The sequence below is a fragment of the Homo sapiens genome, chromosome 3, assembly GCF_000001405.40.
Source record: "Homo sapiens chromosome 3, GRCh38.p14 Primary Assembly".
Classification (NCBI taxonomy): domain Eukaryota; kingdom Metazoa; phylum Chordata; class Mammalia; order Primates; family Hominidae; genus Homo; species Homo sapiens.
The window spans coordinates 54,314,071-54,331,235 of NC_000003.12; the positions used below are offsets into that span (position 1 = coordinate 54,314,071).

Consider the following 17,165-nt stretch of genomic DNA (forward strand, 5'->3'; position numbering starts at 1 on the left):
CCTGAGTCCCAAAAGTCCATTGTGTCATTCTTATACCTTTGCATCCTCATAGTTAGGTACCACTTATAAGTGAGAACATATGATGTTTGGTTTTCTATTCCTAAGTTACTGCACTTAGAAAAATGGTCTCCAATTCCCTCCAGGTTGATGTGAATGTCATTAATTTATTCCCTATTTATGGCTGAATAATATTCCATCATATATCTATACCATAGTTTCTTTATCCACTCATTGATTGATGGGTATTTGGGTTGGTTCCACAATTTTCCGATAGCGAATTGTGCCACTATAAGCATGTGTGTGCAAGTATCTTTTTCATATAATGACTTCTTTTCCTCTGGGTAGATACCCAGTAGTGGGATTGCTGGATCAAATGGTAGTTCCACTTTTAGTTTCTTAGGGAATTGCCATACTGTTTTCTATAGTGGTTGTACTAGTTTACATTCCCACCAGTAGTGTAGAAGTGTTCCCTTTTTACCACATCCACACCAACATATATTATTTTTTGATTTTTTTGATTATGGCCATTCTTGCAGGAGTAAGGTGGTTTCGCATTGTGGTTTTGATTTGCATTTTTCTGATCATTAGTGATGTTGAGCATTTTTTCATATGTTTCTTGGCTATGTGTATATCTTCTTTTGAGAATTTAGACAGCAAGCTTTCTTAAACATCACTTTACTCGTTATCATGTGCTTGGTGTCTAGCACCCTGCCTGGCATACCAGAGACACCAAGTATAGTTTGCAGAACAAACAAATGGAGTGCTGGAGACAGGATGCAAAGCCAGCCTGGCTCAAACCTTTCACCTGGTGCCATAGTCATCGCTTCCATTTTTGTTTTCCTCTCTGCCTTCCTTTTGTGTTTAGAGGGACCTGGTAATACTTTCTTAACTCCTTTTCCCAGTTGAAGGATGACTGCTTTTACGTGAAACAAAAGTAATTTGTACTGGCATCCTTGAAGCTATAGAAAATAAAAAGGCCCATTGCCTGCACAGCTGTGTGGAGAGGCAAACCCTAGGAGGAGAAGGAAGAATTTTAGGTATTTTTCCTCCAGGTCTTTCTTGGTACTTTAGGGAACAGAAGCCAGTTGGTAGCCTGCATGTGGCCATGGAGTAATTTCTAATTGAGGTTCCAGGGCCCCCTCCAGAATGGGCTTGCTTTGCCCTCTCCAGGTATTTTTGTTGTTGACAGCTGTGTCTACTCCCTGGGGGAAGGCTCCAAGCTCACCCCGCAGAGGCCCTGTGGAGGAACAATCAACTCTCGTGACTTCACATGTGACCTGATGGCTTGGAACAGTCGTGTAAACTGCCGCAGCCCCTGTTAACTGCCAATGTCTCCTGGTTTTGGTATTTGCCTCTCTTGCCAAGTTCAAGCCACTGTTGGCTACAAAATCAACAAAACAAGTGTTTTTATGGTAGTAAAATGGGTCCTCTGAAACAAGTTTGCAAATTTTTAGACCCTCAGTCACCTACCCCTCTACTCCCCTTCCCCACAAGGTCAAAAGATGGAGCATCTAGAAGAAAGACCCTGCTAGGTTTGAAACCCTCCAACGAATTGACCTTCAATGCTGGTTGACCTTCTGTGTGCCTCAGCTCTCCACCTGCAACATGGGGGTTTGTGAGGATTAGACAAATTAATAGGTGAAAAGCTTCTGGCACCATCCTGGGCCTGTGATACACGTGAAAAGCTTCTGGCACCATCCTGGGCCTGTGATACACACAGGACTCATTTTACTGACTTCCTTAGACTCTGGTAATGAAGACATGTCGCTTAACTACAAAGAGTCTAATTGGGACCACATTCCCTTAAAGGAATCTGTTTATTAGGTGCTCATATTCTGTTGTAAATATAACTACAACTTATATATATTTTTGAATGTGAAATAGTCATTGAAAAATTAGAAAATAAAGGTAAGCAAAAGAAGAAAGAAAAAAAATCATTTGTGATTGTACAGCTGGCTGTGAATGTACAATCACATTGTGTACATTGTGTATGTCCTCCTAGCAGGGTGTGTGTGTGTGTGTGTGCACGTGTGTGTGAGATTAGTGATTTAAAACAAAAAGTAAGCAGTTACTGTCATACGTTGTGACACTATTTCCTGTATTCTTTGACACAGTTTGGGATGGCTATGTGAAATTCTTTTGTACTGGAATAGCTCACTCTATCCAGTTACTGGAGGTCAAATTGCTTGGTTTTCTACTGTAGGTACCTTTTCAGTAATTTTGATGTATGTCAACATTTTAAGTTACTAAGGGCTTTTGATTGATTAATGACTATCACTGGGTCTTTGTTCTTCAGAATCTTTTCTTTCCAGCAAAGTGAAACATTTCCTGGAAAGAGTAAGGCATTATATTTTTCTAATGTGATTCCAGCAGTCATTAACATGTCTTGGAAGGACAGAGTGCTTTTTGCTTATGAGATACTTCCCCAGGATGATAAGAAAGTAGTATATTCTTGGCTCGTTTGCAAGAAACACCTGTGGGTATGTGGTCTGAAGGGTGGATACTCAGGCTAGAGAGGAATGGAACCATTAAACTGCTCAGCTTATCCCAGATCTGGAATCCACAGCTTGGCAAAGAGCTTTGTGCTGAGATTAGTTAGCGATGTTACAGGCACCAGTAGTCCTGGGAGACTGACAACCTGCCGTAAAGCCAGGGGCTTCTGTTCACAGAGCAGACTCAGAAGAAAAAAGTGGGATATAGGAAGATCTCATTGAAAACTTGGTGGAAAGTTAGAGTTCAATAAATCGATTCCCTTCTAGAAGTCTATTGGGAGAGAAACACATACAGGTAACAGATATGGCCAGAATATTGGGGCCTGGTTTAAAACCAAAAACTTCAGATAAAGATGAATTGTGAAATCCATTTTATTTTTCTTTATCTTGAGCCTCTAGATTACCTTAATTACAGAATTTAGACATCATTTCACTGACTATAAATATTAGACTGCATTAGTTTCGTTTGTTTTACTCAGTCTTGAACTTTGTATTTTTGGTGGTAAATCAGCCTTGGGTATAAGCTGAGTTTCAATGTTGGTTTTTGGAGCACATCTGGCAGGCAGCAAAGAGCTCCTGGGAATTTTAGCTCCAAAGATATTGGCTTCCATTTGAACTTAGGAATAGTCTCAGTGATGGTCATTGAAGTTTTATTCACATACCAGAGCACGCTGTTAGCTTGAGCCAGGTTTGGGCTGGCCAGAGCCCCACCTCTGAGGCCAATCCAGTCAACCTCCCAAGGTAGGGGTAGGGAAGGTCACTCTTTGCCTTACTGTGTTGAGTGTTGCTGTAACAGATTATCATAGATTGGGTAATTTACAAGAGAAGAGTTCTATTTCTTCCAGTTCTGGAGGCTAGGAAGTCCAAGGTCAAGGGGCCCGAATCTGGCAAGGGCCTTCTTGCTTCATCATCCCATGGCAGGTGGTAGAAGGGCAAGGAGAGCCAAGCCTGAGAGCAAGAGTGGGCCAAACTCACTTTTTTTTTTCTTTTTTGAGACAGAGTTTTGGTCTTGTTGCCCAGGCTGGAGTGCAATGGCGCGATCGCGGCTCACTGCAATATCCGCCTCCCAGGTTGAAGTGATTCTTCTGCCTCAGTCTCCTGAGTAGCTAGGATTACAGGCGCCCACCACCATAACTGACTAATTTTTTGTATTTTTAGTAGAGATGGGGTTTCACCATGTTGGCCAGGCTGGTCTGGAACTCCTGACCTCAGGTGATCCACCCACCTTGGCCTCCCAAAGTGCTGGGATTACAGGTGTGAACCACCGCACCTGGCCCCAAACTCGCTTTTATAACACACGCAGTTTCTCCATAACTTACCTACTCCTGTGATAACAGCATTAATCCATTCATGAGGGTGGAGCCTTCATAACCTTATTATCTCTTATTAGGCCCCATCTCCCAGTACTACTGTATTGGGGATTAAGTTTCCAATACATGAACTTTGGGGGACACATTCAAACCATAGCAGCCTTATAGAACCATAGGAAAATGCAGCTGCATCCTTCCTTCCATCTTCCTTGCATTGTAAAATTGCAATTACTCTGCAATAGGCTCCATCCAGAGAAATCTTTTGTGTCTGCTGTGGGCTGTGGCAGCAACCACAAGGACCTGTCCTTGCTTCCAGGGCCACACAATCTATGATGCCAGGAGAGAAGAGCACAGACGGTTTTGGGGTCTGGGATGGAGCATGAACCCTTCTTGTGTTGGAGAATAGGACAGCTTTGGTGGGGAGAGAGAAAAGTCTAGATTGAAGGAATAAATGGTTTTTCAGGTGAGATGCAAGAGAAACTCATAAGATTTTTATGGATGTTTTCAGGGAGCGGGGGGAAACATGAAACTACAACTCATGATCAATTATAGGACCATGTAAAGCAGTTCAAAACATCTAATAAGCAGTGTAGCAGATGTCAATCTTGGTCTAGACTCACATGGTCCAGAAATACCACTTCTTAATTTTTCCAGGGTCAACTTAATGCTGAGAAACTCCAAGCTCTTGGGTCTAATATTCAGGTCAGAGGAAGAGATCCATTTTGAGGACCTCTTCCCACTTCCCCTATGCCAGTGAATACGGGGTTGCTGGGGAGTCCATGTCTAGGTTCCTACCTGCCTGTAAGGGTAAGAGGAGTATCTTTTTTTTTTTTTTTTTCTGAGACAAGGCCTTACTGTGTCACCCAGGCTGGAGTACAGTGGGATAATCATAGCTCACTGCAGCCTCAACCTCCCAGGCTCAAGCAATCCTTCCACTTCAGCTCACCAAGCAGTGGGACTGCAGACATGTGCCACCATATCTGATTAATTAAAAACAAACAAAAAAAAATTTGTAGAGACTGGGTCTCACTATGTTGCTCAGGCTAAGAGAGGGGTATCTTGCTGCTCCTAGAACACATGGCCAGATGCCTCCAGCCTCACCTCTAGGCTCTAAGGATTTTGTTTTAGTTTAAGGATCTGAAGAATTCTCTCTTTACATTCGTTGCTTTCCTTAGAGTTCCTCCCCTTGTCCTCAAACAGTAATCTCATTTCAGGATACCCAGTATTACTGCGTCAAAAGACTTGGACATTTGAGCATTTGAACAAGGAAGGGAAGCATTTTGTGACACACACACACACACACACACACACACACACACACACACACACCCTTCCTCGAGTCAAGGAGAAACTGAGCCTCCCAATTTACATTTTGAAGGTATAGGATGGGAGGAATGAATGGAGAGAAAATGTAGATTTATATCTCAAAAATTATTCTGCCATTAAAATGTAATACATTTTCCTTTTCACAACTAACTCTTAAGGTCTCTAGAGCTGAGATGAGATGTGGAGCCCCTTGATTTCCCTGGGTAAGAGCTTGGGGTGAGGAATTAGTAAACTGATTCAGAGTTTCCCCACAAATAAGAGTAAATATATCTTACCCAGCATCTTTAATTTTCCAGCTGTTTGATAACCAAATAAATGTGATGGATTCATGTTGACATTAAAAGTGTTATAAACTTCATTTGGAAGGTTCCTATTAATAAACAATATTTCCTTCCACTAGGAACAAAATTAAATCTTTAGTTAAACCGTGTTTTGGGTCTCAGGACCCTTTACACTCTTACAGAGTCCTGAGGACTCCCTGAGAGCGTCTCTTTATGTGGGTTACTTGTGTCTATTGATATTTACCATATTAGAAATTAAAACCAAGAAATTCAAAAAGTGATTAATACAAGGATAAAAAAACTCATTGCATGTTAACATATATATTATAATATATTTTATGGAAAATAACAATACTTTCCAGAATAAAAAAATTAGAGGAGTAGCTGTTTTTCATTTTGCAAATCTCTTTAATATTTGATTTAAGAGGAAATAGGTGGATTCCCATATCTGCTTCTGTGTTCAATCTCTTGTGATTGGTTGCTGAAGAAAATCTGGCTTCACATAGACAACGCTGTTGGAAAAATGAGGACTTCATGGACCCTGAAAGGGTCTCAGGGACCCATAGGAGTTTTGGGATCACTTTGAGAACTGCACATTTAAACAGATAAACTACCAGGGTATGTGATGGCTTTTAAATGAAAAATTGTCTTTAGTGAGAATTTGAGTCAACTGTGGGTGAAATCAGTCCCTTATAAATAGACAGATGATCGTTTAATTGGGTTAAGATATATTCCTTTCCTGGGTGCTGGTTAAGTCTCCCAGGAGAGCCAGAGTCAGTTTCATGCTTCTCCCTAGTTGGCTTAATAATTTTGAAACACAGTTTAATATCCACAAATTCACCAGAAGCAGTCATGGTGTAATTTTATCTTTATTTATTCCTTGTGGGTAGATGTGGTCTGAAATCACAGCTGTGGTGTTTTACGGTGTCATGTGTCTTGAATGTTGCCCTCTCTTCTTACAGAAATACAAAGAGTATGAGAAAGACGTTGCCATAGAAGAAATTGATGGCCTCCAACTGGTAAAGAAGCTGGCAAAGAACATGGAAGAGATGTTTCACAAGAAGTCTGAGGCCGTCAGGGTAAGTGCCTATGTTTTGTGCCCTGTATCGCCTGAAGGCACAAAGGCAGCTTCAGGGGATGGCATTGATGAACCAATCTCTCAAAGATAAAAGTTGACTCACGCATCTATTACGTAAATACTTTTATTTTTACAGTCTGGTTAGCCAGGAAAAGCAGTCACTAGGGGCACAAACTGCCCTTTTCATAGAGGGTTCCTGTGCCAGTTTTATTCTGGTAAATGTATGCCTTCAGCAGAGCTGCCACTAATTGTACAGCCATACAACGTGGGCCTGTAACTGTATGATGCATTCAGTAATGGCCAAAAACCATTCAAAGGTACACTAGGGTTCAACTAAGCTCTAGTCTGAGCATTTTCTTGTGTCACTGTGTTTTGTGATTTTCTCAAATGGTTGCATAACATTTCAGTCTATGAGTGTGTCATAATTGATATAACTGTTCCTATATATTTGGATGTCTGAGTTATTTGAAAGTTTTTATTGGCCGGGCGCGGTGGCTCATGCCTGTAATCCCAGCACTTTGGGAGGCCGAGGCAGGCAGATCATCTGAGGTCAGGAGTTCGTGACCAGCCTGGCCAACATGGTGAAACCCTGTCTCTACTAAAAATATAAAAATTAGCCGGGTGTGTTGGTGGGTGCCTGTAATCCCAGCTACTTGGGAGGCTGAGGCAGGAGAATTGCTTGAACCCAGGAGGCAGAGGTTGCAGTGAGCCAAGATCGCGCCACTGCACTCCAGCCTGGGTGACAGCGTGAGACTCCGGCTCAAAAAAAAAAAAAAGTTTTTAAGAGATGTGTTGCCCAGGCTGTTCTCAAACTCCTGGGCTCTAGTGATCCTCCCACCTCAGTCTCCTGAGTAGCTGGGGCTACAGGTATGTACCACCACACCTCGCTCACTTGCAAGTTTTGACATAAATAATGCTGCAGTGAATCTTCTTATATATTTATAATGGATCAACCAACCAAGCACCTACTACAGGCAAACTGTTCCTTTAAGGACCGTATATGTACTCACTTGTATTATCCTTGTAACACCTCCGTGGTGGATGTTAGTATTATCCCCATTTTACAAGAGAGGAGACTGAGAGGAGGAAGTTGAGTAGCTTCTCTGAGGTCACATGAGGAGTGAGAGAGAGCCCCAGTCATAATGACCCCAGAGTCCGCATTCTTTACTGCCGCCTTGCTTTCAGTGTCCTGGAGTGTGTTTCCTTAATGTGAATTCCAGAACACAGAAGACAGTTCAGAGGCTCAGAAGCAATCTTCAAGGTTCTTTATGCATATGAAAGCATTTCTGTCCAGATAAGGTTGTGCCAATTCACAGCTGCTCCAGCGACAGTGGTGTGCAAGTGCTTATTTTCTGAAATCCTTGCAAAAAAAAAAAAAAAAAAAACTAGTAACAGCATTGTCAATTTGAGAGGGGGACATATTATTTTAGCATGCATTTCTTTGTGAATCACAGAATTTTAGAGGAGAAAAGGACATAAATATCTTTAGGTTCTGCTTCTACAATTGACAAAGTAGCCCTGGTGCCTGGAATTAGGGGAGCATTGGGAGTGGAAGGAGGAGGGGGCCATGCAGCATGCTGCCTTGACACAGAGGTCCAGCCAGCACCAGAACCTAGACCTCACCTCCTTGAGGCAGTGGGCCCACGTGGTCAGTGAGACATGGGCTCTGAAAGTAGTGGAACTGTCCCGAATCTCAGTTCTGCCCCAAGGTGGGAGACCAGTGAGCAAAGCTGAGTAACCCCTGTGAATCTCTTTTTTTCCTCACTTACCAGCCTGGCGGCATTACGAGAAGTCAATGATTTAATAAATACGTGCTTACACTTATTGAGTTCAGATGCACCAGCCCCTGTGCTAATCACTTTATGTATGCAATCTCATTCTTGTATCAACACTAGGAGTGAGACACTGTTATTATTGTTGTCTTAGAAATGACCAAACAGGCTTGGCAGGGTGAAGGCATTTGCCCAGGTCACGTGGGCAGGGCTCAGCAGAGTTAATTTTTACACCTAGGTGGTGGGGTTGCAGTACCTCTGTATCTGTGTAAGGTGTTTATTTAGCTCAGTGTCTGGCAAACAGTAAATGTTCAGTAAACATTTGCTGTTACAGCTGGTTAAAGGGCCTTCTAATCTGTGAACATCTGATAGGAGGTAGTCTTGCAGCTTTAGGAAACACCTGGATGATGACAGGAGGGAACGTGAACTGGGTTTAGCGTCTTCGTATTGCCTAATTTTAAAACCTTTTTGTGTTAAATTAGTGAAGATAAAAAAAAAAAGACGATTTGGTATGGTGGGTGTAGTTCCTTTGAGAAGAAAAAAATAAGTTGCTCTGTTTAAATTGAAATATTCCCAGAATAAAGGCAGCCAGATTCCTTGCAATGTGTATTCTATATATTTTAAAATAAATGCACAGGCCTTCTGTAATTACGCTTGATGCTCGAGCCTGTAACATCTTGGTTAATTGGTCCAGTGTTATATGGATTTCCCCACGCCCGTCTTTAAAGAGAGTTTGTATGTCACGTAGGGGTTTAGTCTGGGGATGGTAGAGATGGGCCTTGTCCTCACTGTGAGCCATGTGGCTCTCTTGTTAACACTCAGGACCCATATGCCATTTGGAATGAGATGTCCCTTTGGAGGCCAGGGAAGCAGTGAGTGTGACTCTTTTCCTATTTTAATGATACCTTGATTCTCCATTAGGAAAAGTCGCTGTTTGCCTGTGAGATTTGTGAACATTTGAAGAGCAAAGACCTCAGGTTCAAATTTGCCCATGGGTTTGCAGTGGAGTCATTATTTGTAGCCTTGCACTGGAATGCACCACTGTGAGACAAGGTGGGGTCCTTTCCCATGCCACCCACTGGGCAGTGACCCTTCCCCCTCTTTTCTCTCCTTTCCTCTCCTCTTTTCTTTTTCTTTTCTTTTTTTTTTTTTTTAAAGACAGAGTCTTGCTCTGTTGCCCAGGCTGGAGTGCAGTGATGCGATCTCAGCTCACTGCAAGCTCCGCCTCCCGGGTTCACGCCTTTCTCCTGCCTCAGCCTCCCCAGTAGCTGGGACTACAGGCACCCGCCACCATGCCCGGCTAATTTTTTGTATTTTTAGTAGAGACGGGGTTTCACTGTGTTAGCCAGGATGGTCTCGATCTCCTGACCTCGTGATCTGCCTGCCTTGGCCTCCCAAAGTGCTGGGATTACAGGCGTGAGCCACCGTGCTGGGCCCCCACCCCGCTATTTTCTGATAGGTCAGGAACAGAACAGATTTTAGGTTTGGCCCTATCACTCTGATGCGCCACACCTAGGAATCTTCCATTTCCAAGCCCCCATCCCCCTCCCCCAGCAGTTGGAGTTGGGTCCCAGGTTCAGGTGCCCTACCTTGTGTTTTCCTAGTGTGAATCAGTGGTGACTCCAGGGACGTGTGTAAGAGAAACCTGGTTCACAAACAACCCTGATTTATTAACATTTCCATTGGTGTATATAAAATATTTATGAGCCTGGCAGTAGCAATTTAGGAAGCTACAATAACAACACCTTTAGTCTGTGAAACTAGGTTCAGTTAGTGCTGGGGGAAAAAAATGGAGTACTACAATAACCTCGTCCTTTAATGTAGCCTGTCATCTCCTGCCTGTTAAACAATGTTGATCTTTTTCTCTGTCTCTTCTGGCTTGATTTCATCATTTTCCTCCATCACTTTTCCCAGTGATTAGTTGAATCAGAGTGATTTTATCATCCTCATCTCCTATTTGAATTACTCTCCACTATGCAATTATCCTATCACAGAAAGTCCTATTTTCTCCCCGTCAGATGTCTGAAGTAAATGTGAAACCTAAAGTGGCCTGCCCATTACATAACCCCTGTCATCTCATTGGTAATGGACTATATGTAACTTTTTTTTGAGGCTAGCAAGTTATAAATAACCTTAGCTTCAGTAATTTCCATTAACATAATGGTGCCATCATTATGGTAGCATTTCTTAACTAATATTTTCTAGTTCTTTTTAATGCCATTGGTGGTTTAAGTAATTTTTTCACACCCACGCAGAGGCTAGCTATAGGTTATTTGATATGGCCATGCTCCTGCTTGCTTTTGTGTATAGCAGTTGTGCCCAAGGCACCATCTCTCACCTTCATTGTTCAGACATATTTATGCTACCAAGCCCTCAATTAATATTGCTAAGCAGTTTGTCAAGTTTTAAGTCCCTACGAATGGACAAGAAATGGAGTCCATTTGCTTTTAGTTCATTAACATTTCAAGGGAGATATTTCACATGTTGGACATAGAGGAAAGGATATGCACCAGTCCTCTGCCAACTGTGGATTCCCATCAGACCATTCCTAAGTGACACCTGGAAATGCTTGTCTGTGTCACAAGTCAGAGCTCTTTGATATTGATGGAAGGCAAATTTGACACCACTCCCCTTTCTTCTGAGTTGCTGATGTTGAGAAATGTACCCTGATTTGAGGGGAGGGAGAAGGCAGAAGGGTTATATTGCATGACCTTGGTTATATGGACAGGCTGCCCCCAGCCTTTCCTTTGTCTTTAAAATCCAGCCCTTCAGGGGGAGTAGCACAAACTATCAATCAACTGCAAGCATTATCTGGGGCTCCAGGGAACTCTGAGCAGGCACAGCCAAATGTGCAGTGGGAAGAGAATATGTAGGAAGTAACTGCGTAACCACGGACATCTCTGATTGTAAGGATATACTTTGAGGACCAATTCCATCACAGCCAAGGGGGTGTCATGATCCTGTAATTTTGGTGCGGTACATATAACTGAGATGAGCAGCACAAGAGAAAAGCAGATAAACCAGGAAATGACAAAAAGACTTTGGTGAATTTATGATTTTATGCTAATATTCTCTAGGATGGTTTTCTAAAGGTGAATTCCTTCTAGTGGATTTTGCCTTTGGTTGCACTGAACAGCTCTGCCACTGCCTTCATCACACTGATTTGAGCTGGACTTAGAACCTCCTCTGGTCTTCTCAAGTGTTTCTGGTTTCAGGGCCAGACACTGATTCAGAGGACCCTAAATGTCAGCCTATGCAGACTTCAGACCTCCACAAACTTTAACAGGTTTCAGAGCGGGAAGGAGCACTGGGGGGATTATAGGATAGTATCTGTTGTGGTAGCGTTTCAAGCAAAACATTACAATTAATTAGTTGTATCTAAAAGAATGAACTCTTTTGGGGAATGTGAAGAGATATAAAACACAAGTTGTAGCTAGACCTACTCAGTGATGAGCCAATTGTTTTCAAACCTTGGGTAAGATATTTAATAAATTTTGAAAGCACCCTGAAACTCACACCTGTAAATAAACTTAATGTTGTTTCACTTATTTTTTGATTTACATTGATAAAATGATAAATCAGGCCCTTGAAAAGAGTGTTTTGCTTAAAAATAAATACCTTTGCTTGTTGGGAAGAGCTAAAGGAGACTAGATTTTATATTAAGTTTTCCCCCCTTCCTATAGTTACCTGCTGTTCATTGTGGAACTGATTCCCATTATAGCTTTACTGTGGAAAGTAATTGCTGTTGTACAGTAATTCAATTTCAGTGCATTCACGCATCAGTCCACCGATAGGGGTTTATCTGGAGAAACCTGGGACTTGAAAGCTTTTTATCGAGAAATTCCACATGCAGCAAGACATTTTTCCTAGGAAACGAATATCAGTATTTGCATTTAATAAACATTTACCTTCTCAGAAAAATGGATTTTTCTCTCTGCAGAAGAGATTTACGCCAATCTTCCAAAAAGCTAGAGGGTACTATTAAAGCAACTTTCTTGGAATGTTTTTTGACTGGTGCCTGTCTACATATGTATGACTATAACATACATCAGTGTTTTTATGGGAATATATACAGTGAGGCATGAAAAGCAGGATGCACCCAAGTAAAGCATACTCCATCCCCAAAATATAAGCTGTATAAGGAATTAATATCTATAGGGACTATATGAATACTTCTGGTTTAAAAACTCATCTGATCTATAGACATTGTGAAAATTGTGTTTGAGGCATACTTTCAAAAGGATTACATTGGAAATGAAATAATTGATTCCGTTTATCCATTTGTAAGTTAAGGAAAGGTTCTTAAGACAGAACTGATTATTTTCTTTACATGTTAAGTCCAAAATGTGGAGGTTTTAGGAACTGAATATAGCCTAACAGTGCCAGGATCACTTTAAGTTCTCAGGCAGTGGAGGTATATATGGCTGTATAGATCTAAAATATTTTTGTTTTCTGTCTTGTTTTCATTTCTGATCTCATCTCAGAATTTCAAAGCTTGTACTTTGAAAGAGCAGTACATTTGTTTCAGAAAAAAATAATGTTTTCTGTTTTGAGTCACAGATAGAGGGAGGAGACTATTAATTTTTTATGTTGATGTATCTTGTCTATTTGTCCCCTTTTTTTGGTAAACTGGGTCGCTTGCAAAATCGTACGTATATATGTAAGGAAATTTAGAGCAAAAACCTCAAACCAGAAGAATCTTAAAAAAGAGCAACAATCTGTATTCACCAGTTTTGATGAGGTCAGTGAACCATCTTTGGTTAATGGCTGAGAACAAAACCACATGGAACTGCGTGGTCCTCGTGGGTTTCACCCCAAATGGGCCCAGGGTTTCCGCTAACATACTTCAGTTTGAGCCAACCTGAGCCTCACAGCTAAGCCCAGAAGACTGCTGTCCCTCCCACGTTGAGAGGGAACAACTTGTCCACCCCCTTGGGGGTACATGCTTACCACTAAAGGGAAGGAAGGGGAACCACTGGATGACTTGTATGTGTAATTTCATGTCTTCTCTCCTCAAGCTCTCAGTTTTCCATCAGCCTCACATCATTGAAGTTGGCTTGACTTGGTGGACTGTATCCTAACTTTCATGCTTATTCTGGGGGTGTTGGCCTGTAGAAAGCATTCTTCTTTGTGGGTAGAACCATTGCATCAAACCCTCCTCAACTTCATGGTTATTTATCTCTTTCCCAAATAATTGGACTAAACGCTTTCCATTTGCAAAGCTTTATGGAAGTCTTAGTTTTGTGTTTTCTATGTCTACTGTAGAAGCACCCATGTGTTTTTTAATGCTTTTTGTTTTTACTGGTTATAAAAGTAATACATATTCATCGTGAAAGAGAAAAGAATGTGCAGAAAATGAAAAAGGGGAAAGGAAAGATCACAGCATGAAGAAATAAGTTTCAAACAGTACTTAATGTCTCTCAATACCTTTTGTTTTTCAGCATCTTAGTTTTTGTCCTTACAGGTTTTTTTTTCTGTTTGTGCATGAGTATATAGATATGTGTGGGTGTATATAAACTTCTAAAACATTGGATTATTCTTTCTTGTAACAGGCTTTTTAAAAGATTACATGTTGTGGACATGTCAATGAATATAGATTTCTATTATTTTTCATGACTGCTTTCTGGATGTTCCAATCAAGCAGCTCTCTCTTAGTGAACATTGATGGCATCCGTAGTGTTTCACGGTTATAAGCAATAATATGATAAACTCTCTTGCAAAGAAACTTTTGTCCATTTATTTGATGCATTTATTAGGATGTATTCCTAGAATTGAAATTAAGGCTTTGGGTGTATCTTTCCAGATTGTTCTACAGACAATGCTATGCCTGCCTATGTTCCCACCTGTGTGGTTGGAGGGGAACTATTTCCGCATTATCCTCTCTAGTATTTGACTATTATTAGTCTTTTGGCCAAGTTTAGTATCTCATGGTTTTTTGTTTTGTTTCGTTTGTTTGTTTTTTTGGTTTTGAGACGCAGTTTCACTCTTGTTGCCCAGGCTGGAGTGCAATGGCCCGATCTTGGCTCACTGCCACCTCCGCCTCCCGGGTTCAAGCAACTCTCCTGCCTCAGCCTCCTGAGTAGCTGGGATTACAGGTGTCCGCCACCACGCCTGGCTAATTTTTGTATTTTTAGTAGAGATGGGATTTCACCATGTTGGCCGGGCTGGTCTCGAACTCCTGACCTCAGGTGATCTGCCCACCTCGGCCTCCCAAAGTACTGGGATTACAGGCATGAGCCACCACGCCTGGCCTCAAGTTATTTTCTTTAATTACTCACCGTTTGGCACAGTGGGTCCCTCCGGCTCCTCATCTGTCCTGCACCAGGGTTTGAGGAAATTACACCATGTCACACAGAGAGCATGGGCTTGCCAAAACAGAGAGATGGCCCAGGTGCTGATCCCCATCCTCCCACAGAGAGGAATGTGGGTGTAGGCACTCTGCTGGACATGCTTGGAGGGGCCCTCCCCTTCTCCTCCCTTTCTGGAGTGTATCATGGGAACAGTCCTGAGGAGGAGGGACAGGCTAACTAGCACTAAGCTTCCTGACTTTGGGGTGCCAGCTGTTTGGAGGAATCAGCTGGGAGCATCGGCGGCTCAATACCTAGGGACTGTGGTGCCCAGGGTGTTTCAGCCTCCCCACTACTGTGGGAGAAAGTCAGTAGTTGCAAGAGAATTTGAGCTTGGTGCAGCCCCTCTCACCGGGAAGGGGTCCTGTTCCCAGATGGCTCGTTGTCTGAGCACCCAGACTGACCACCAGGGTCACTTTGATTGACTTTTCTGAAAGGTACTGTGTAGTTAAGTTGACCATCTTTTTACATGTGTATTAGCCATTTCTTCTTCATTTTTATTTTTTATTTTCATACATTGCCTGGTAATACTCTTTCCCCTTGTTTAACTGTACTATTTCTTTTCTTGTCCCAACTTGCCTTTACTGTGGCCCCAGTGCCTACTACGGTGCTTCAAACTATAGTTAAGTGCTCAGTAAATGTTTGTGGATTGACTTACAGGCCTTTGTCTTGGGGTCAGGATAACTTAAAGTGAGGGTGATATGGATGGTATGGGCTACACCCCTTCCCTTTGGCCAGAGAACTCCTGATAAAGGGGAAAAGAAAGTATTAGAGCTCAACTGCAAAGCAACTGTGGGGTTCATGGACTTTCCAGAATCCTCCACTGTCGGCTCCAAGCGAATGAACCTGACACAGCAATGTGGCACCAAGATGTTTGTCCCAGTTCTGATTTTTCAGAGTATTATGTTGTTGTTGTTGTTCTACACTAGGCCAGGTAGAAAACAATGCCTCTTAATTTATACTCAGGCCAGGCAAAAGCAATCTTAAAAGGTTTGTGGGTGGGAGGAAATTATGATGGGTGAATTACTGATGTGTTACCATCAAGAGATCCAAATGACAGAAGAAAGCCATAATAATAATAATAATAATGATAATAAAAGACCACTGTCTATAATTTTATAAATTACCAGCAACAAATTAAAGGGTTTCAGAAATATTTTGAATGCATATTTAGTCTAACTAGCGATGTGTTGGTGGCATTGGTTGTACTTTTTTGGTCTTTACTCAGTTTCCCATATGGAGGTGAGGAGCAGCTGGTCCTGCAAACAGAGTGAGATTATTTACATTTTCTAAATTAGGTTATGAGGGGGAAAATGAAAAGATAGTTAGGAATTCATTGGCATTTCATTTACACTGCATTCAGTGGAGAGATGACAGCCCTTGCGAGTAATCAGAATCTTTGTTAAAAATCAGCTGGGATATCATTTATTGCACATCCCAGGCTTACTGGCAGCCTGAATAGATGAACATGCAAGGCTTTGTACTATCAGGGGTAAATGTGGATTTTTTGTTCTTGTATGCTTTTTAATTGATATGTGTGTGTGTGTGTGTGTGTGTGTGTGTGTGTGTGTGTCACTTGGGAAGGAAAATCAGATCCTTGGGAATATACTTAGAGAGCCTCCCCTCACTGCACCCAGTGACTCTGGAGCATTTCGTGAGTGTGTTTGATGGGATTTATAGAGAGGAACTTCTCTAGTACCTCTGCAAAGCCCGTGATGGATGTCAGAAAGCAGACTCCTCATCCAGGGTCACGGTTGGAGTTGCTCATAGACAGCCCCACTCCAGCCAATGAGCAGGAGTCTTCCTACCTCAAGCAGGTGTTTCTGCAGACACTGGAAGACTGCTAACCCTAACCCAGGTTGTGGCCCTGATTTGACTAATGCAGGAGTTGCCTTAGTAAAAACTCTAGGCTGGGCAAAGATTCAGACTCTTATGACTTTTAACCAGCCATGAATACATGGGTACCAGCTGCACAGAGATGATGGAAGCAGCTCCAGTCAGACTGGAGCACAGTCAGACTCATAGGGGAGCAGAGCCCTGCAGGCAGCCTCTTGGCCAGCCAGTGGGTGGCCTCTGTTAGGATGCCTTTTGAGCCTGGCAGCCTGTCTCCAAGAGGACTTCCCTTCAAAGGGCTCAGTGGATCCATTCCCTTGATGTGCTGGGAGTCTGTCATTGCAGTCACTGTGGCCATGGTCTGGGGATAGTGCATCAGCTTGCTGTGGTCCACACGGGGGAATTAGGGTTGGCCTCTGAGACCAGATTTGGTAGAGATGATTTTTTTTCTAGGGAAGTATGTTCAGTACACATGTGTTTATAATGGAGGGGATGGGCAGAAGTGTGGGGGTTGGTGGTTGACACATGAGCATTCATTTTCATGGGAATTTCGTCATTGGAGATGGGGAAATAAAAAATAATTAATCACATCAGAATTGTAAACCTCTGTCCCCCAGGCCAATCCTGGTTGTAGATACCTTTTACTTGGTCTGTGTGGGCTTTAAGGGGGAAAAATGAAATCACATATAAAAATATGTAGTGATATTAAAATATCCAGATTTAAAT

General features: G+C 42.2%; 1 protein-coding gene across 1 annotated transcript in view; it reads left to right on the plus strand.

The window, feature by feature from the left end:
• The window catches only part of CACNA2D3 (calcium voltage-gated channel auxiliary subunit alpha2delta 3), a 952,006-nt gene that overhangs the window by 191,519 nt on the left and 743,322 nt on the right, over positions 1-17,165 (plus strand). Inside the window, exon 3 of the mRNA NM_018398.3 lies at positions 6,372-6,488. Coding sequence (NP_060868.2) covers positions 6,372-6,488 — 117 coding nt within the window. The remainder of the gene's footprint in view (positions 1-6,371; positions 6,489-17,165) is intronic.